Source organism: Homo sapiens, chromosome 2 (genome assembly GCF_000001405.40).
Source record: "Homo sapiens chromosome 2, GRCh38.p14 Primary Assembly".
Classification (NCBI taxonomy): domain Eukaryota; kingdom Metazoa; phylum Chordata; class Mammalia; order Primates; family Hominidae; genus Homo; species Homo sapiens.
Window position 1 is genome coordinate 43,398,371 of NC_000002.12, and position 13,846 is coordinate 43,412,216.

A 13,846-nucleotide genomic window follows, 5' to 3' on the forward strand; every position below is an offset into this window, starting at 1 on the left:
GACAGGCTTGGGAATAAGACAATAAACAGGTAGTAGCAAAAAACAACTTACTTGTTAACTATTTATTGGGTATTTATGATAAGCAAAAGCACCATGATAAGTGCCATAAAAAATAAGACAGTCACCATTGTCTTTGAAGAGCCCATACTTTGGTTGGCCAGAGGAAAAGTACATTTGAAAAAATGACCAAAAGTACGAGACAGTATAGGAAAAGTGAGAAGCAAGTGACCTTGACATTATGACTATAGAAACTCAGAAGAAGGATGGAACTCAGGAAAGCAAGCATGATTCAAGTAGGCCAAGAAAGATCTGAAGCCATTTCAACCAGGGGCAAAGTGGTATAAAGCAAGGCTAAAAATACTCAAGGTCTAGGTAGATGTGTTTGAATAACGCAGAGGTTCATGAATAACAGTAGAAGTTAAGGCTGAGAAGTGGGTCAGGCCATACTGGGGAGTGCTACGAATAGCATAGTACATGGTCTGAACTTACTGTTAAGAGAACAAGAGATGGACCTTCAAATCACCAAATCCTTGACTCTGGGCTGACTCATACCCAAAGAGCGGGAATAAAAGCCAGTTCTTAAATAGTGAAAGTCCTGGACAAGTTATTTTGAGATTCTAGAAAGGTCATTGTAAAGGCAGGTCATCTAAAGGCCTCTCAACTTCACAAACAATCAGAAACTTAAAGGCCATAACCATTTTGCTGAAACTGTGCACTTTAAAGCCTTCACAGATAGGAGATTGATTGAGAGGAAAGTCCAATATGCTAAGTACCAGCTTAACTAAGTTCTTTACTAGAACGCTCAAGACTTCATGATTTTTCATCCAATTAAAAAGGTAACTCAACTTACAGAAATATCTTAGATCACAAGAATAGGGAAGGTCAGAAGACGGTAGACTCTGTAGGGGAAAAGAGATGGCCTCTTGACTGTTTTCAAAACTAATCTGTGTTTACAAAGGAATTACTTGGTAAGAATTAGGCCATTAGGGCTACATGGCCATGTTGGCTCAGTAAGTAGAGGGACAGGGCCCTACAATAGCAATGTTTCTAACACCCTAGAGGTTATCACCAACATTTATTCTAATATGCCAACAGAAATACAGATACAATTTCTGTACAAATAGAATAGCCTGAGCAGAATTTCATCATGGTGTTGGGGGAGGCAGGGGAAGAGGAAAAAGAAGTATGGGGTGTTTAAAAAAAATGTGTCTTTTTCCCCCAAGACAGTTACGTCTATTGGGTAGGTCCAGCAGCACATAGTTTCAGGATGGAGAAGAGGTCACCTCACATTATCTGTGGGAAAGCAGAGAGCTATGGTTACAGTAGGTAGCTGGACAGTTCCCACAACTCATCCTGGACAGTTCCCAAAACTCATCCATTTTCTCACTTATTCTTTTTAAGTGATTAAATGTTTAATCTGTAATTGGCAAATGCAGAAAAATGTTTGCTTTGGCCTATAGGAAATGGTAAGGGTGGGGGTCGGGGAGAAACTTCATTTGACCAAAAAACAAAAAAACAAAAAAACAAAAAACAACTCTGAAAATGTTTTGAAATTTAATTAGCAAATGACCTCACTTAGTAAGGCAGTCATTTGTTGGAAGCTTCCCCTTCTGTCTGTCCCCGACCTCTCCAACACACACACTTTGTGTTACACTGTGTTTTATGTTACCGAAAGGGCTCTTGTATATAAATGTTTCTTTTCAAATACAAATAACTCTGACATGGTTACAGATGTTTAGTTTCCAATTAGCAGTGACTGTACACTAAAGAATGCCCCTCCTTTTGCTCCTGACTTTTGTAAATGATGATTTCCCAAAGGATTCTGGCATCCATACAAGAGGAAGGATGGAAAGGGGGAAAAGTGCCAGTATTTTCTGCTTTTGGATACCCTGTGTTAGGGTGGTTTCCAAATGCACACAACCAGGTTAAAAAGCAAAACAAAACCTCTCCTCAAAAAAGTAATGCAATTACCAAAAAAGAAGCCAATTCTTGAAGTAATATTTAATTAAGTAACATTCATTATAAAGCAATGGTTAAATATTCTATCGCAAATTCTTTAGGTGGAAAGATTAGATCATAGACAAATTTATATATATATATATATATAAATATATACACTAAGAAAAAAAATTTCTAGGTTACTGTTTTGTCGCCTACTGGCGGCAGGGAGGGGGTCTGATGAGAACATTTAGAATCTAACGGTTAAGAGAATAGAAAATTAGAACACCTGAATTTTCATTCTGCTTTGGACACTGAGTTCTGTGACTTGGACAAGTCACAGTAACCTCTCTGAGTCTCAGTACAGTTAAGAATGGTGGCAATGCTTTCCACCTAGTGGTCTGACATGATGTCTAAGAGAACACTCCAAGAAGGAAGGGCTCCAGAAATTCCAAGTTTTTACAGTGCACTGTGCCAGTGTCCAGTAATAGCATCAGTATACTCCAGAATTACAGGCCTGTGAGTAGCCCCAAAAAGAGAATTAAGACCATGTGGTGAATTCTGTGCTGTTTTAAAAAGGTAAGACAACATGTTGATAATATGAAGGCAAAGAGGGTCTTTTTTTGGCCACTATTAAAAGTGATGAGGAAGAGTCTCAAGCCCTTCTGAAATAAATCGGATAGCCTCTGTCTCTCTAAGTCTCAGTGTCTTCCATAAAATAAAACAAATACACTTAAGGTCTCGAAGGTCATTTCTACTTTTAACATTCCTTGAAAATCAGTTCCTCTAATAGCCCTAAGCTATGTTCTAGGCCTGAATACTAGGTTCTCCACAGAATCTGCAAGGTACACAGACACCAGTGTCTTAAAACCTCTAGCCCTCTCACTTCAATAAACCCTTTCCATGTTCATTTTAATCACTTATTTATTGACTGCCTACCATGTCCTCAATACTGTGTGACATGAGACATGACACTTTTTCTTTTTTTGAGACAGAGTCTCGCTCTGTCACCCAGGCTGGAGTGCAGTGGTGTGATCTCGGCTCACTGCAAGCTCTGCCTCTCAGGTTCACGCCATTCTCCTGCCTCAGCCTCCCGAGTAGCTGGGATTACAGGCGCCTGCCACCACGCCCAGCTAATTTTTTTTATTTGTAGTAGAGACGGCCTTTCACCGTGTTAGCCAGGATGGTCTCGATCTCCTGACCTCGTGATCCACTCGCCTCAGCCTCCCAAAGTGTTGGGATTATAGGCGTGAGCCACCATGCCCAGCTGAGACATGATACATTTTTAATAGGAATACTTGCATCACACAATTGTACAGCACTTGACAGTTGATAAAACACCTGCACACCTGTGATCTCTTTACTATGCAACATTCCTGTAGACAAAAGGGCATTATAAACCTAAATTAACAGAAGAAAAATAAAATGAAGCTCAGAAGGATTCAGTGAAAACTCTGAGGGCTAAGTGTAAGCAATGCTCACGGCAGACTGTGATCCAGAGCTCTCTGGCTACCCAACCTGTAGCTCACACCTGGAAATCAAGGGAGCATAAAAATATCTCCTAGCTAACAAAAACACAAACTGTAATTTACACATATTTGGAAAATTTCTAAATGAGTGGTTTTTTGTTGTTTTTTTTTTTAAAAAAAATTTTAAGGATCATGAAAATATTTCAGAAACTAATGTAAACTATGGACTCTCTCACAAGAGGAATATATTTATGAACATATGCACACAATTTCCCACACAGTTTCAGGTTCGTGACACACATCCAAAACCCTTGTGGGGGGAGTTTCCCAGACCCAGGTGGAGAACCTCCTGCTGCTCCTTTGCATACATCAATGACCACACGATGTGGCTGTCAGGTTTGTGTTCTGCTGCATGTGACACAGCAGTGAAGAACACTGCTCACAGGGAACCACCAGCTTAGAGGCGATATACAGCCTGCTCATCACAAATCGGTGGTACCCATGCAGACATTCACAGCCGAAGAGTGGCACAGAAAAGTGAAGTGGGAGGCAGAGCTGAGACAATTTTCTGCAACAGATGAAGGATCTTCAAATGAGGGTGAAATACACACTTGGACTTAACACTTGAGGAACCAAGAAGAGTTCAGAATGCACTATTCTCAGCAAAAAAAGGACCATTCTGCTGAGATCATGCTAACTTTACCACCTTTAACAGAGTGGGGGCTAAGCTTTTTCTAAGTGTTCTCCTCTCATATCTACTCTCACAATCTGTTCTTTTTTTCTGAAAGGTTTCAAAGGTAAGTGGCTATACATCACCAAAACTGTCTCTGCCCACACACATCCGTAGGGACATCTACTGAGTACCTAGCACAGCACACACTTGGTCAGGTACCAGAGAACTGGAGAGAAAATCACTGCCTAGGCCACAAGCAACCTACAGTCTAGTGTGGAAGACAGAAGAACCAGCCAATGATTCTCAGGCCATGAGAAGTAAACACAAGCTGCTGCTGCTGTGTAAGTGTGACTCCTGTGTGTGGGAGTACTAGTCTAGGTGATCATGCCCAGCTCTGCCTAAGTGGGGAGAGGCGGCGGAGAGGCAGAGAGCGCTTGGGTTTGGCAAGAAAGAAGTCCTTTCCCAGGCCTGTGCCTTTCCCTGTGTGAACCCAAACTGCCCCTCAGGGCACCCAGACAAAAGGAAGGAAACTGAGATTAAGTCACTAGTATGTGCCAGGACTGGCTATGTGCTTTTGATACACTATTTTAATTATTTCATTAATCTTCATTCCAAGGTCAGTGTCATTAACCTTATTTTAAGATGAACAGAGTGAGGTGTCCCAGCATACTTTGGGTCATAAAACTAGCATAAAGCCTGCATTTTAATTAGGGTCTGTCTACCTACAAAATTCAGTCTTTCTAAGACTTTACAACGCAGTTGCCTCAAAATCCCCAGAGCCTTGGAAAAGCCGAATGTTTCCAAACATTCAACCTAATCACACTGAGGTATGAACAACTTAGAGAACCAATCAGTCTCTAATTTGTAGACCGTGAAGCAGAACAACGAAGATGATGCTGATAATAGCTAACATCTCCTGAACACTTATTAAAGACCAGGCTCTATATGTGGTACCTCATTTAAATCTGACAAGCCAGAGTGGCTGAAAGAAACTTTGTAGGCAATGTTGGGGAGGTATTTTTGAACTGAGGGAACTTTAAGGCTCAGTAGCACTGGGCGAGTCCCTGCATGTCACAGGAACCAGAGGCTTCAAAGTCTCCAAATGGCTTCAGGATCCAGCCAATATCCCCTTCCATCCTACCTCATTAACATAATTAACATTCCCCCAGTTCCTCCCCATTTCCTGGCCCACCTCCAGCCCTGATTCTTATTTTTCAGGTGAGGCTATACCATATGCAAAACAGAGGCCCCAAACTTCTGTCAATGATGAAAAGGACCATCCACTTGCTCTAGATGCCCCTACTTAACCAAGCGGTTTGCATCTTCAGAGCTGGTATGAGTTCAAAAAAGCTATGTCTGACCCTGACCCCACACCCCCAACACACCCCCTAAAACCTCTCACTAAAGTTACTCAAGAATGCCAGCCATGCCATTATGGTCTGTTTGTCCTACAGCACAGCTGTCAGCTCCTGGGAAATGGTCATCTACTGACAACCCAAAGTTGAGACAACCCTATTTAATAGGCCATCTCTAAAGGCTGGGTGACACACAGCAGGCTGAAGCTCTGGATTATACTACCTTCAAAAAATCTTTTTTCTATGTATGTTTTGGCAAGCCAACTAGTGCCTTTGCACATTTCAGTTCATTCTCACTAGAGTAATGTCCTTTTACTCTTGTACTTTTACTCCTGTACTCTTGTAATGAAGAGGGGAACTCCTCTTCATCTTCTGAACTATGCTAAGGTATTACATTTTTGTTTAGAGACAGGGTCTCGCTCTGTCACTCAGGCTGGAGTTCAGTGGTTTGATCATAGCTCACTGCAGCCTTGAATTCCTGGGCTCCAGTGATCCTCCCACCTCAGCCTCCTGAATAGCTGGGATTACGGTTGGGTGCCACCAGGCCTAGCTAATTTTCTTTTTCTTTTCTTTTTTTTTTTTTTTTTTAAAGTAGAGACAGGGTCTCATACACCTGGCCTGAAGTGCTCCTCCCACTCTGGCATCCCAGAGTGCTGGGATTATAAGCATGAGCCACCATGCCTGGCCTCTGCTAAGGTACTACCTTTTTTGTGAAACTTTACTGTACCTTCTGTGATCAGAATCAATCACTTCCTTCCCTCTGCCTACTCCAATTGCATATTTAGCTCTCCCATAGCAGCCAGTGCATCTCACTTACCTTCCCCACAGTAGCTCTCAGGCATCATCATGTCTGCTAGACTGAAATGACATTGAGAACAGAAACAGGGTCTTCATAGTTCTTTATCACAGAGCGCATAGGACAGGGACTTAAGAACATGCTCTGGAATCCAGCAGACCTAAGTTTACATCTGAGTTCTGACACTTACTAGTGTGTGACTTTAGATAAGTCAGTAAACCTAGGTTTGTACCTTCTATAAATGGGGAAAAGGAAGAGTGCTCATTTCATAGGGCTGTTGTGAAGTTTAAATGAAATAATGCATGAAAATAAAATGCCTAGAAGACAGGCAGGTGGAATAATTTGAAAATAAAACCTTTATACACATTTACAAATTGTTTTTCTCTAGTGTTCTTTGTCTCAACAACTGGCTGAGGAAACAGAGCCTGGCCTGTACCAAACAGGCTCCAAGTGCTCACAGAGGCCTACCCTCCTCCTTCCCCTCTAAATGAGCTGGAAAGGAGAGGAGGCTTGAGTTTCTCTGGGGCCTATTCACTTGTTTATGTGAAGCCCATTGGCTTTATTCTCCAGGTCCAGGGCCCAAGTCTATTTTCTGTCGACTCTACCGCTATTATACTAAGATTTCTTTTTCCTTTTTAATTCTGTGTGGTTCGTAGTTTCAAATCTTGCCTTCAGGAAAACATATATGTGTGGGTACGTGTGCATGCATAAAAGAGAGAAACCACACACACACACCAAGTTTGTATCCAGTGAGTTGGAAAAAGCAGATATTTCTGCACGACCTGTAAGTATTAAATATGTTTTTGTTATAAATGTGGCATTCCTGAAGCCCTTTTCCACATTCTCAGGTGAGTTCAGTGATGGCCAAGGTTGCCAGATTCTCTACTTGTTCTTCCTATGCCAATATTCCATTCATCAAAGGATCTACCACCACCACCCGAACTAGTTGCTCCTTTTCCTGCAATTCAAACCACTAGCACATAAAAATTGCATTGACTGTAATCTTGCCCTCTGCATAGCTCAGGGATTTCTTTATTCAAATATATTTCTTGGAAGAGTAATGAGTTCGGAGCTTTTAAAGTTTGATTTTTTAAAAATCCTTGGTTTGGGTAGTAAGGAGAAAATAAGAGCTGTAGACAGTAGCTAAGCTAAAAACTGCACATTTCCAGACACACAAAGTAACTTCAGGTAGAATGTTTACATACGTTACCTATCGGGCAGCTCAAAGCTCTTTGCAAATTAATTCTAAGCAACACATTAAACCCTTAAAAAAAATTATGAAGAAAGGCCAACAATAAGCCACAACAGAACATCTGAAAACTGTAGTGTGTGACCCCTTGAGACAAGCCCAACCACAGAGTCTAAGCCTCAGAAAAGCATGCTTTTGAGGTCACCTTCACATTGCCTCCCAGTGACCCAGGCTGACAGGCCACAGGCTATTAATTCCAGGCTGTGAAATGTCAGCTGCTGGGAGCTAGAAATCAGCCTCCATCATCTGGACATCCCTCCACTTGCCCCTGCAAGAAATAGGCACAGCACTCAGCAACCTGACGTGGCAGAAACACAGTCCCAGGTGCAATGGCTATGGCTACTTGATTCATACCATCCCTTTCAGTGCCAGGAAATAAGGCAAGGAGATTTTCCAACAGGGAGGGGTGAAGGTACACAATGCAGTTGTTACTTTAAAAGCTCTCTAAACAATATGCTTTAATTGTTCAGAATTAGAAATATTCTTAAATAAATGAAAAGATGCATAATTTCTGAACGCTAATTTCTGGTCACTTGCTGATCAAAATGTAGAGATGAAGCATGAAAATTACATTTCATTTGAAATTTCATTTAAATGTTTCATCATTTTTTGAGACAACAACAAATACAATTTGAAACTGAATTTTTCAGATTCCAACCAAATGTTTTAGACAGCTGAGAAGAAGATTCTCCTCAGGGGCACTGAAATGTGCTATACCTTAGCAATAATTCTTTCCTGACTCTGGGAAAAATATGGAAAAGACTTTATAGCAAAGTACATACAAAGACATTGGGAGCCCTAGAAAATAAAAGGGAATCATCTTTCCTAAGCAAGTAAAAATAACCACTACACTTAGTTTGAAATTTTGGCATAATCTTCCCTCCCAGCCTATCTGAGGGGTTTCTCTCTGACCCTGTACCAATGAGCCACACTCTGGTCTACTGTTCTCCTCATGCAACAGCTGGAAAAGCATTCCGGATCTACCCTCGGGGTTCTTGGGCTGGGATGAGCTGCATGTAAGGCAGGAGCTGGGCTGCAGCATATGCAGAATGAATGAAAGAGTTGCACATTCCTCCCAATCGCAAAACCCTTCACAATGTTTCTGCTCGGGCTACACAAACAACCAAGAAATGAGCACGTTCAGGCAGCCACTGACTCTTTAAAGGGGGCTGAACATAATAACACTTGGCCCCTCAGCATGTCGCCTTTCCTTGCAGGCAGTGGATGGGTCTGAGAAATCAGTAACAGGCTGGCTTTCCTTTGGTGTTGACTGCTCAAAGGCCAAGTTCTCAAAGTGATTTAATACAGTTGAAACTCACACCATTATCCTTTAGAGCAAGAGATTCCATATTTACAGTGATTGATTTTTCAGTTCACAAACACAGGAATGGGTAGTCATTTTAAGACACTACACAAAGGAATAGAGAGAATTTACCATCTTATTTTTTAAACCCTATTATATATAACCCTACTATATATAGATAGAAGGTTTAGAAAGGAATGCTTTTATTGACATTAAAAAACTTTTTTTTAGCTTTCAAATTTTCTAGAACCTATGATAGCTCTCTATTGTCACATTAAATACATATTCTTATTCTGGTATTCAAAGTACTCTAATTCTAGTCCAAGGTTGACTGCACAAATCATAGGTGCTGAGTAAATTTTTCTTTGACCAGTTTAATTTTTCAGGTGATTATCTCTGAAATGATATTAAAATCTTAGACAATCTAAACATCCTGTGAGTCAAGGGAATGCTCAACATACACCAATTCTATTAACTTCCCTTTTTGACAATAATCTGTTACATTTATAAAAGATTCTGATATCCACGCTAAAAAGAAGGAAGGAAAAAAGGAAGTGAAGGTAGGAATATTTACTGAGTGCCTGCTAGATGCCAGGTACTTTAAAATATTTTCTCTCATTTTTAGTACTTAGATAAACCCTTTAAAATAAAGTATATAATATTATATAAATATATGTGGGTTTTCACTCTAGATAGTCTATGGGAACATAAAAAGAATGATGGATTCCCAAATAAAATGTAACCACAACCAAATAAAATGTCCTGTGCCAATTTTTTTGTTGTGATAATGAATGAGGAAACCTTTGTAGGCAATTTATCCCACTAATTTCAATGGCTGGAATGCATATTTGCAGGTCTCATACATAAGGAATTGGTAGTCTAAATATGTTTCCTACTGCTCTAACTAGTGTTAAACAAAACAAAGCCTAAAGCTTTATTCAATATTATCTTTAAGGAAGGCAAATTAGTCACCAGGACTTTGAAGCAAGTCATCCACCAAGTTGCAGCCATCAACCAACAGTTTATGAAGAACCCCACAGCAGACTGCGACAGGTTCCACAAATGCTGTGGCAGTGTCCCCTGGTATCCTCTCTCAGTACTGATCACCTCAGGTCAAATCACTTACAGTCATTCAAAGTATAGTATTGATTTTGTGCTTGCCTCGGCAGCACATATACTAAAATTGGAACGATACTGAGAAGATTAGGTTGCCTCTGAGCAAAGTATAGTATTTATTTAAAGACAAGTTTGAACTGCCCAAGAATAAAAATCTTCAACATTACTAATGACAAGAAAAGACACATACATGTCAGCACATTGGCAGAATTTTCTTGGGTGTAGAAGAAATACACAGTCATCAGCTTTAAGTGACTTTTTTGGTGAAGTGAAACCTACTGTGAAGCAGAAGCACTTACATGGTTTCCTTCGAGTCTCTTACGCAAGGCTACTTTTAAGACATCCTCAAATTAAAATATGAGTATCTAACAATGTGGCCACAGCAAGTTACATAATGTCCTTTCACATCCTCATCTATAAAAGCTTATTAGAGTAAATGATCTCCAAAGTCCCCTTCAAAAACAAAATTCAATCATGGACATTTAAACATTCCAGGCAGATAGCTATCTTTTTTATTTTAAAATATCATTATGACCTCTCTTGTTCCATTGTTTAATCTCATAATATTGATGCTAATAATAAAAGTTTTATGTCTAACACTAACCATACTCAATCTTTCTATAGTTGGAGCCAATCTTCTCTAGTTTGAGCCTCTGTGGAGTTGGAGAACAAATGACCAGTGTTTTCTACACAGAGGAAAACCCTTCATTAACTCTACTGGAATCCCATCATGAAAGCACCCTTTACTCTTCTGAGGGCTACAACCACTCCAACTCCTTTCATCATGTAGAACCTCTTCTCTAGAATCTCATTAATTATTTTGCATCTACAGAGGGTTAAATGAATCTTCCCAGTGCCATCAGCTAAAACAATGATTGGTGCTACTGCTGTATGAAAGAAATTTGAGTATTTCTTTTAATTTGATTACTTTGCAGAGACTGCATTTTGTTTTTGCTGAAGCTAATTAATGCCCCTGAATGACCCTCCTCATGTTTCACAGAAACACTTCAAGCTAAAACCAGAAAGAATGAATTTTTAAAAATAATAAAGTACAAGGAAAGTTTTGAAAAATTCCAAAAAATTGCTTTTTTTTTTTGGCCTGGAAAAATGACACAAAAGAGCAACAGATATTGAGATATTAGCAACAGACTCATTCAAGGTATCTTTTCTCAAATGAAAATTGCAATTAGGTAAGTTGAGTCATATTTCAGCATGCCTACAGTATCCCAAATAGACTACTGCCAGTCAGTTTTTAAATACCCCTGAGAAAGTCTGACATCCTCCTTTGGTTATCCCAGTACCCATGTTTATACTGCCAGTCAAAAAAAATACTTCCTTATACAGTATAATTATACTTTTTCTTGCTGCAATTTAATTTTGTTTTTCTGGTTCTACATGCCAGGGAAAGAAATAAATCTATGTCTAAAAGACTTGTATCCAAAATATATTCAGAATAATAGGAAAACAAAAGCAGGCATGATGGCTTACACTTGTAATCCCAGCACTTTGGTAGACTGAGGCAGCAGGATTGCTTGGGGCCAGGAGTTCGAGACCAGCCTGGGCAAAATGAGACCCTGTCTCTACAAAAAATAAAAAAAATAGCCAGGCATGGTGGCATGTGCTTGTAGTCCTAGCTACTCAGGAGGCTGAGGTAGGAGGATTGCTTGAGCCTAGGAGGTTGAGGCTACAGTGAGCTGTGACTGTGCCACTGCACTCCAGCTAGGGTGTCAGATCAAGATCTCATCTCTTAAAAAAAAAAAAAAAATAAGAGAGAGAAGAAAAGAAAGCAAACAACCTAACAGAAAAATTGGGTCAAAGCTTCAAACAGACACTTCAGCAAAGAAGATATATGAATGCCAAATACATGTAAAGATGCCCAACATCCTTAGACGTTAGTAAAGTTTAAATTAAAACCCCAGTGAAATACTACTATATACTCACTAGAAAGGCTAAAGTTAAAAAGACTGAGCATACCAAGTGTTGGCTAGGATATGGAACAATTAGAATTCTCATACTCTACTAGTGGGAATGTATAATCACTCTGGAAGACAATTTGGCAGTTTCTTAACAAGTTAAATATATACTCACCACGCAGCTCACCTGTTCAATTCCTGTGTATTTACACTAGAGAAATGAAAGCCTAAGTCCAAAAGGAGACTCGTGCATGATTGTTCCTAGCAAGTTATTTGTTACTAGTTGATGGATACAACATAAATGTCGTTCAACAGCTAAGTACACAAACAAATTGCAGTATATCCATACAATCGAATACCATTTGGCAATAAAAAGAAACAAGCTACGGATATACCTAACAACATGGCTGAATCTCAAAATAATTATACTGAGTGAAAAAGCCAGACAAAATAGAATGCATCCTGTATGAGTCCGTTTACTTAAAATTCTAGGAAATGCAAATTAATCTGTATTGACAGAACATAAAACAATCATTGCCAGGGAGGTGGGGGAGGGGAGGTTGGGTAAGGATTACAAAGGATGATGGCTATGTTCCTTACCATGACAGTGATGATGGTTTTATGGGTATATAAAAATATCAAATTGTACACTTTAAACATGTGCAGTTTATTTTACATCAATTGTACCCCAATAAAGTTGTTTTTAAAAGAATAATCTTTCATATACATTAGAAAAGTTGTTATACATTCTGTCTTGCTTTCTTAGCCTCCAGCTCCATCTCCAAAACATCTCAAGTCTTCTCTTCCTCAGATTAAACAAGCCCAGCTATTTCCTTTAAACTTTTACAACCAGAATTAATGTTCCCTTGTGCTCTTTTAAAAAATCAAATCAATAAACACTTAAATCCTAACAATCACACAAGAATTAAAAAACAAAAAAATTTTTTTGGACAATGTTCTGAATCTTTCACATGTTCTAGACAGGCTCAGAGAAGTTAACTGACTTGCCCAGGCTCACAAAGGGAATGAATGTATGAGCTAGGATTCAAAGTCAAGTCTGTCTCACTGCAGAGCCTGTGCTAGTTGCAAAAATGAGTGTTCCCCATCTCTGATATTTTTACCACCATAGAAGTGAACAACAATAGCACATATTAAAAGAAATTCAATTTTATTCATTTTAAGGACACTTGACAGCTCCAATTATTCAACCAAGTGATGTCAAATTTGTTGGGCCAGCTTTAATAAACTCACCTGCTGTATTCAGCGGTATGATTTCGTAGTGGTTATTAAGGTAAAAGATTCCCCTCCCCCCAACTTGATTAGATTAAACCTGCTTTCTAATATTTTGAACAGCCTTTTAATTTGCTTATTCCATCATGAAAAGGTAATTGTCAACTCATACTAGTTTTAGTCACCCTAAATTCTGACAAACAGAAGCCAAATCAGTGGATTATTTTTCAATATATTCCAAATGAATGCACAATGGAGACTGCTGTGCAAAGTTAGAAGATGAAACAAAACTGATTACATACACCTATACCCTGCCACTAATTAAAAATATACTAGTGTTACAAGTATACAGTTTCAATGGTGGTGGTATCTTTGTTCAGAAGCACGGTACATTATTATACAGCTGAAGCCCTCTAGCATTTAATTAGGCTGCTAATTATGAGAAGAATCACATTGCCTTCAAGTCTTTCCCTGGATTGTGACCAAGACTTGGTATATTAATTTCATGGTGATTGTGTTTTAAGATGGGAAACATGTCAGTAAAGAATACTGGTCACATCTTTCAAAGTGTCCAGGTGATGAGATTTTAGCTGTGGCACAGTTTGAGACATTAATTAGAAGAAAATACTGCTAATTCCCACTGCCAATTTTGATGATCAGATGATATTTTATGTTGGATTTTAAACATGAGTAGCATTCAAAGTCTTCACAGGGGATACACACATGAATATAAAAAGAAGAAAATTAAGTGACATTCTTTATTTCCGTTTGAGTTCAATCAATTAACAAATTTAGCCTCAATTC

At 39.2% G+C, this 13,846-nt stretch overlaps 1 protein-coding gene and 1 pseudogene across 7 annotated transcripts in view, besides 3 other annotated features; one reads left to right on the forward strand and one right to left on the reverse strand.

The window, feature by feature from the left end:
- Positions 1–13,846, reverse strand: part of THADA (THADA armadillo repeat containing) — a 365,188-nt gene that overhangs the window by 167,520 nt on the left and 183,822 nt on the right. The window lies entirely within an intron of this gene.
- Positions 3,584–3,833: an enhancer, noted in NCBI's record as "active region_15670". NCBI's record gives its function as "activates an Ori minimal core promoter by ATAC-STARR-seq in GM12878 lymphoblastoid cells {active_cell/tissue: GM12878}" and the evidence as "EXISTENCE:reporter gene assay evidence [ECO:0000049][PMID:35858748]".
- Positions 3,914–4,103: an enhancer, noted in NCBI's record as "active region_15671". NCBI's record gives its function as "activates an Ori minimal core promoter by ATAC-STARR-seq in GM12878 lymphoblastoid cells {active_cell/tissue: GM12878}" and the evidence as "EXISTENCE:reporter gene assay evidence [ECO:0000049][PMID:35858748]".
- Positions 9,903–10,082: an enhancer, noted in NCBI's record as "active region_15672". NCBI's record gives its function as "activates an Ori minimal core promoter by ATAC-STARR-seq in GM12878 lymphoblastoid cells {active_cell/tissue: GM12878}" and the evidence as "EXISTENCE:reporter gene assay evidence [ECO:0000049][PMID:35858748]".
- On the forward strand, positions 9,937–10,007 carry RNU6-958P (RNA, U6 small nuclear 958, pseudogene; annotated as a pseudogene).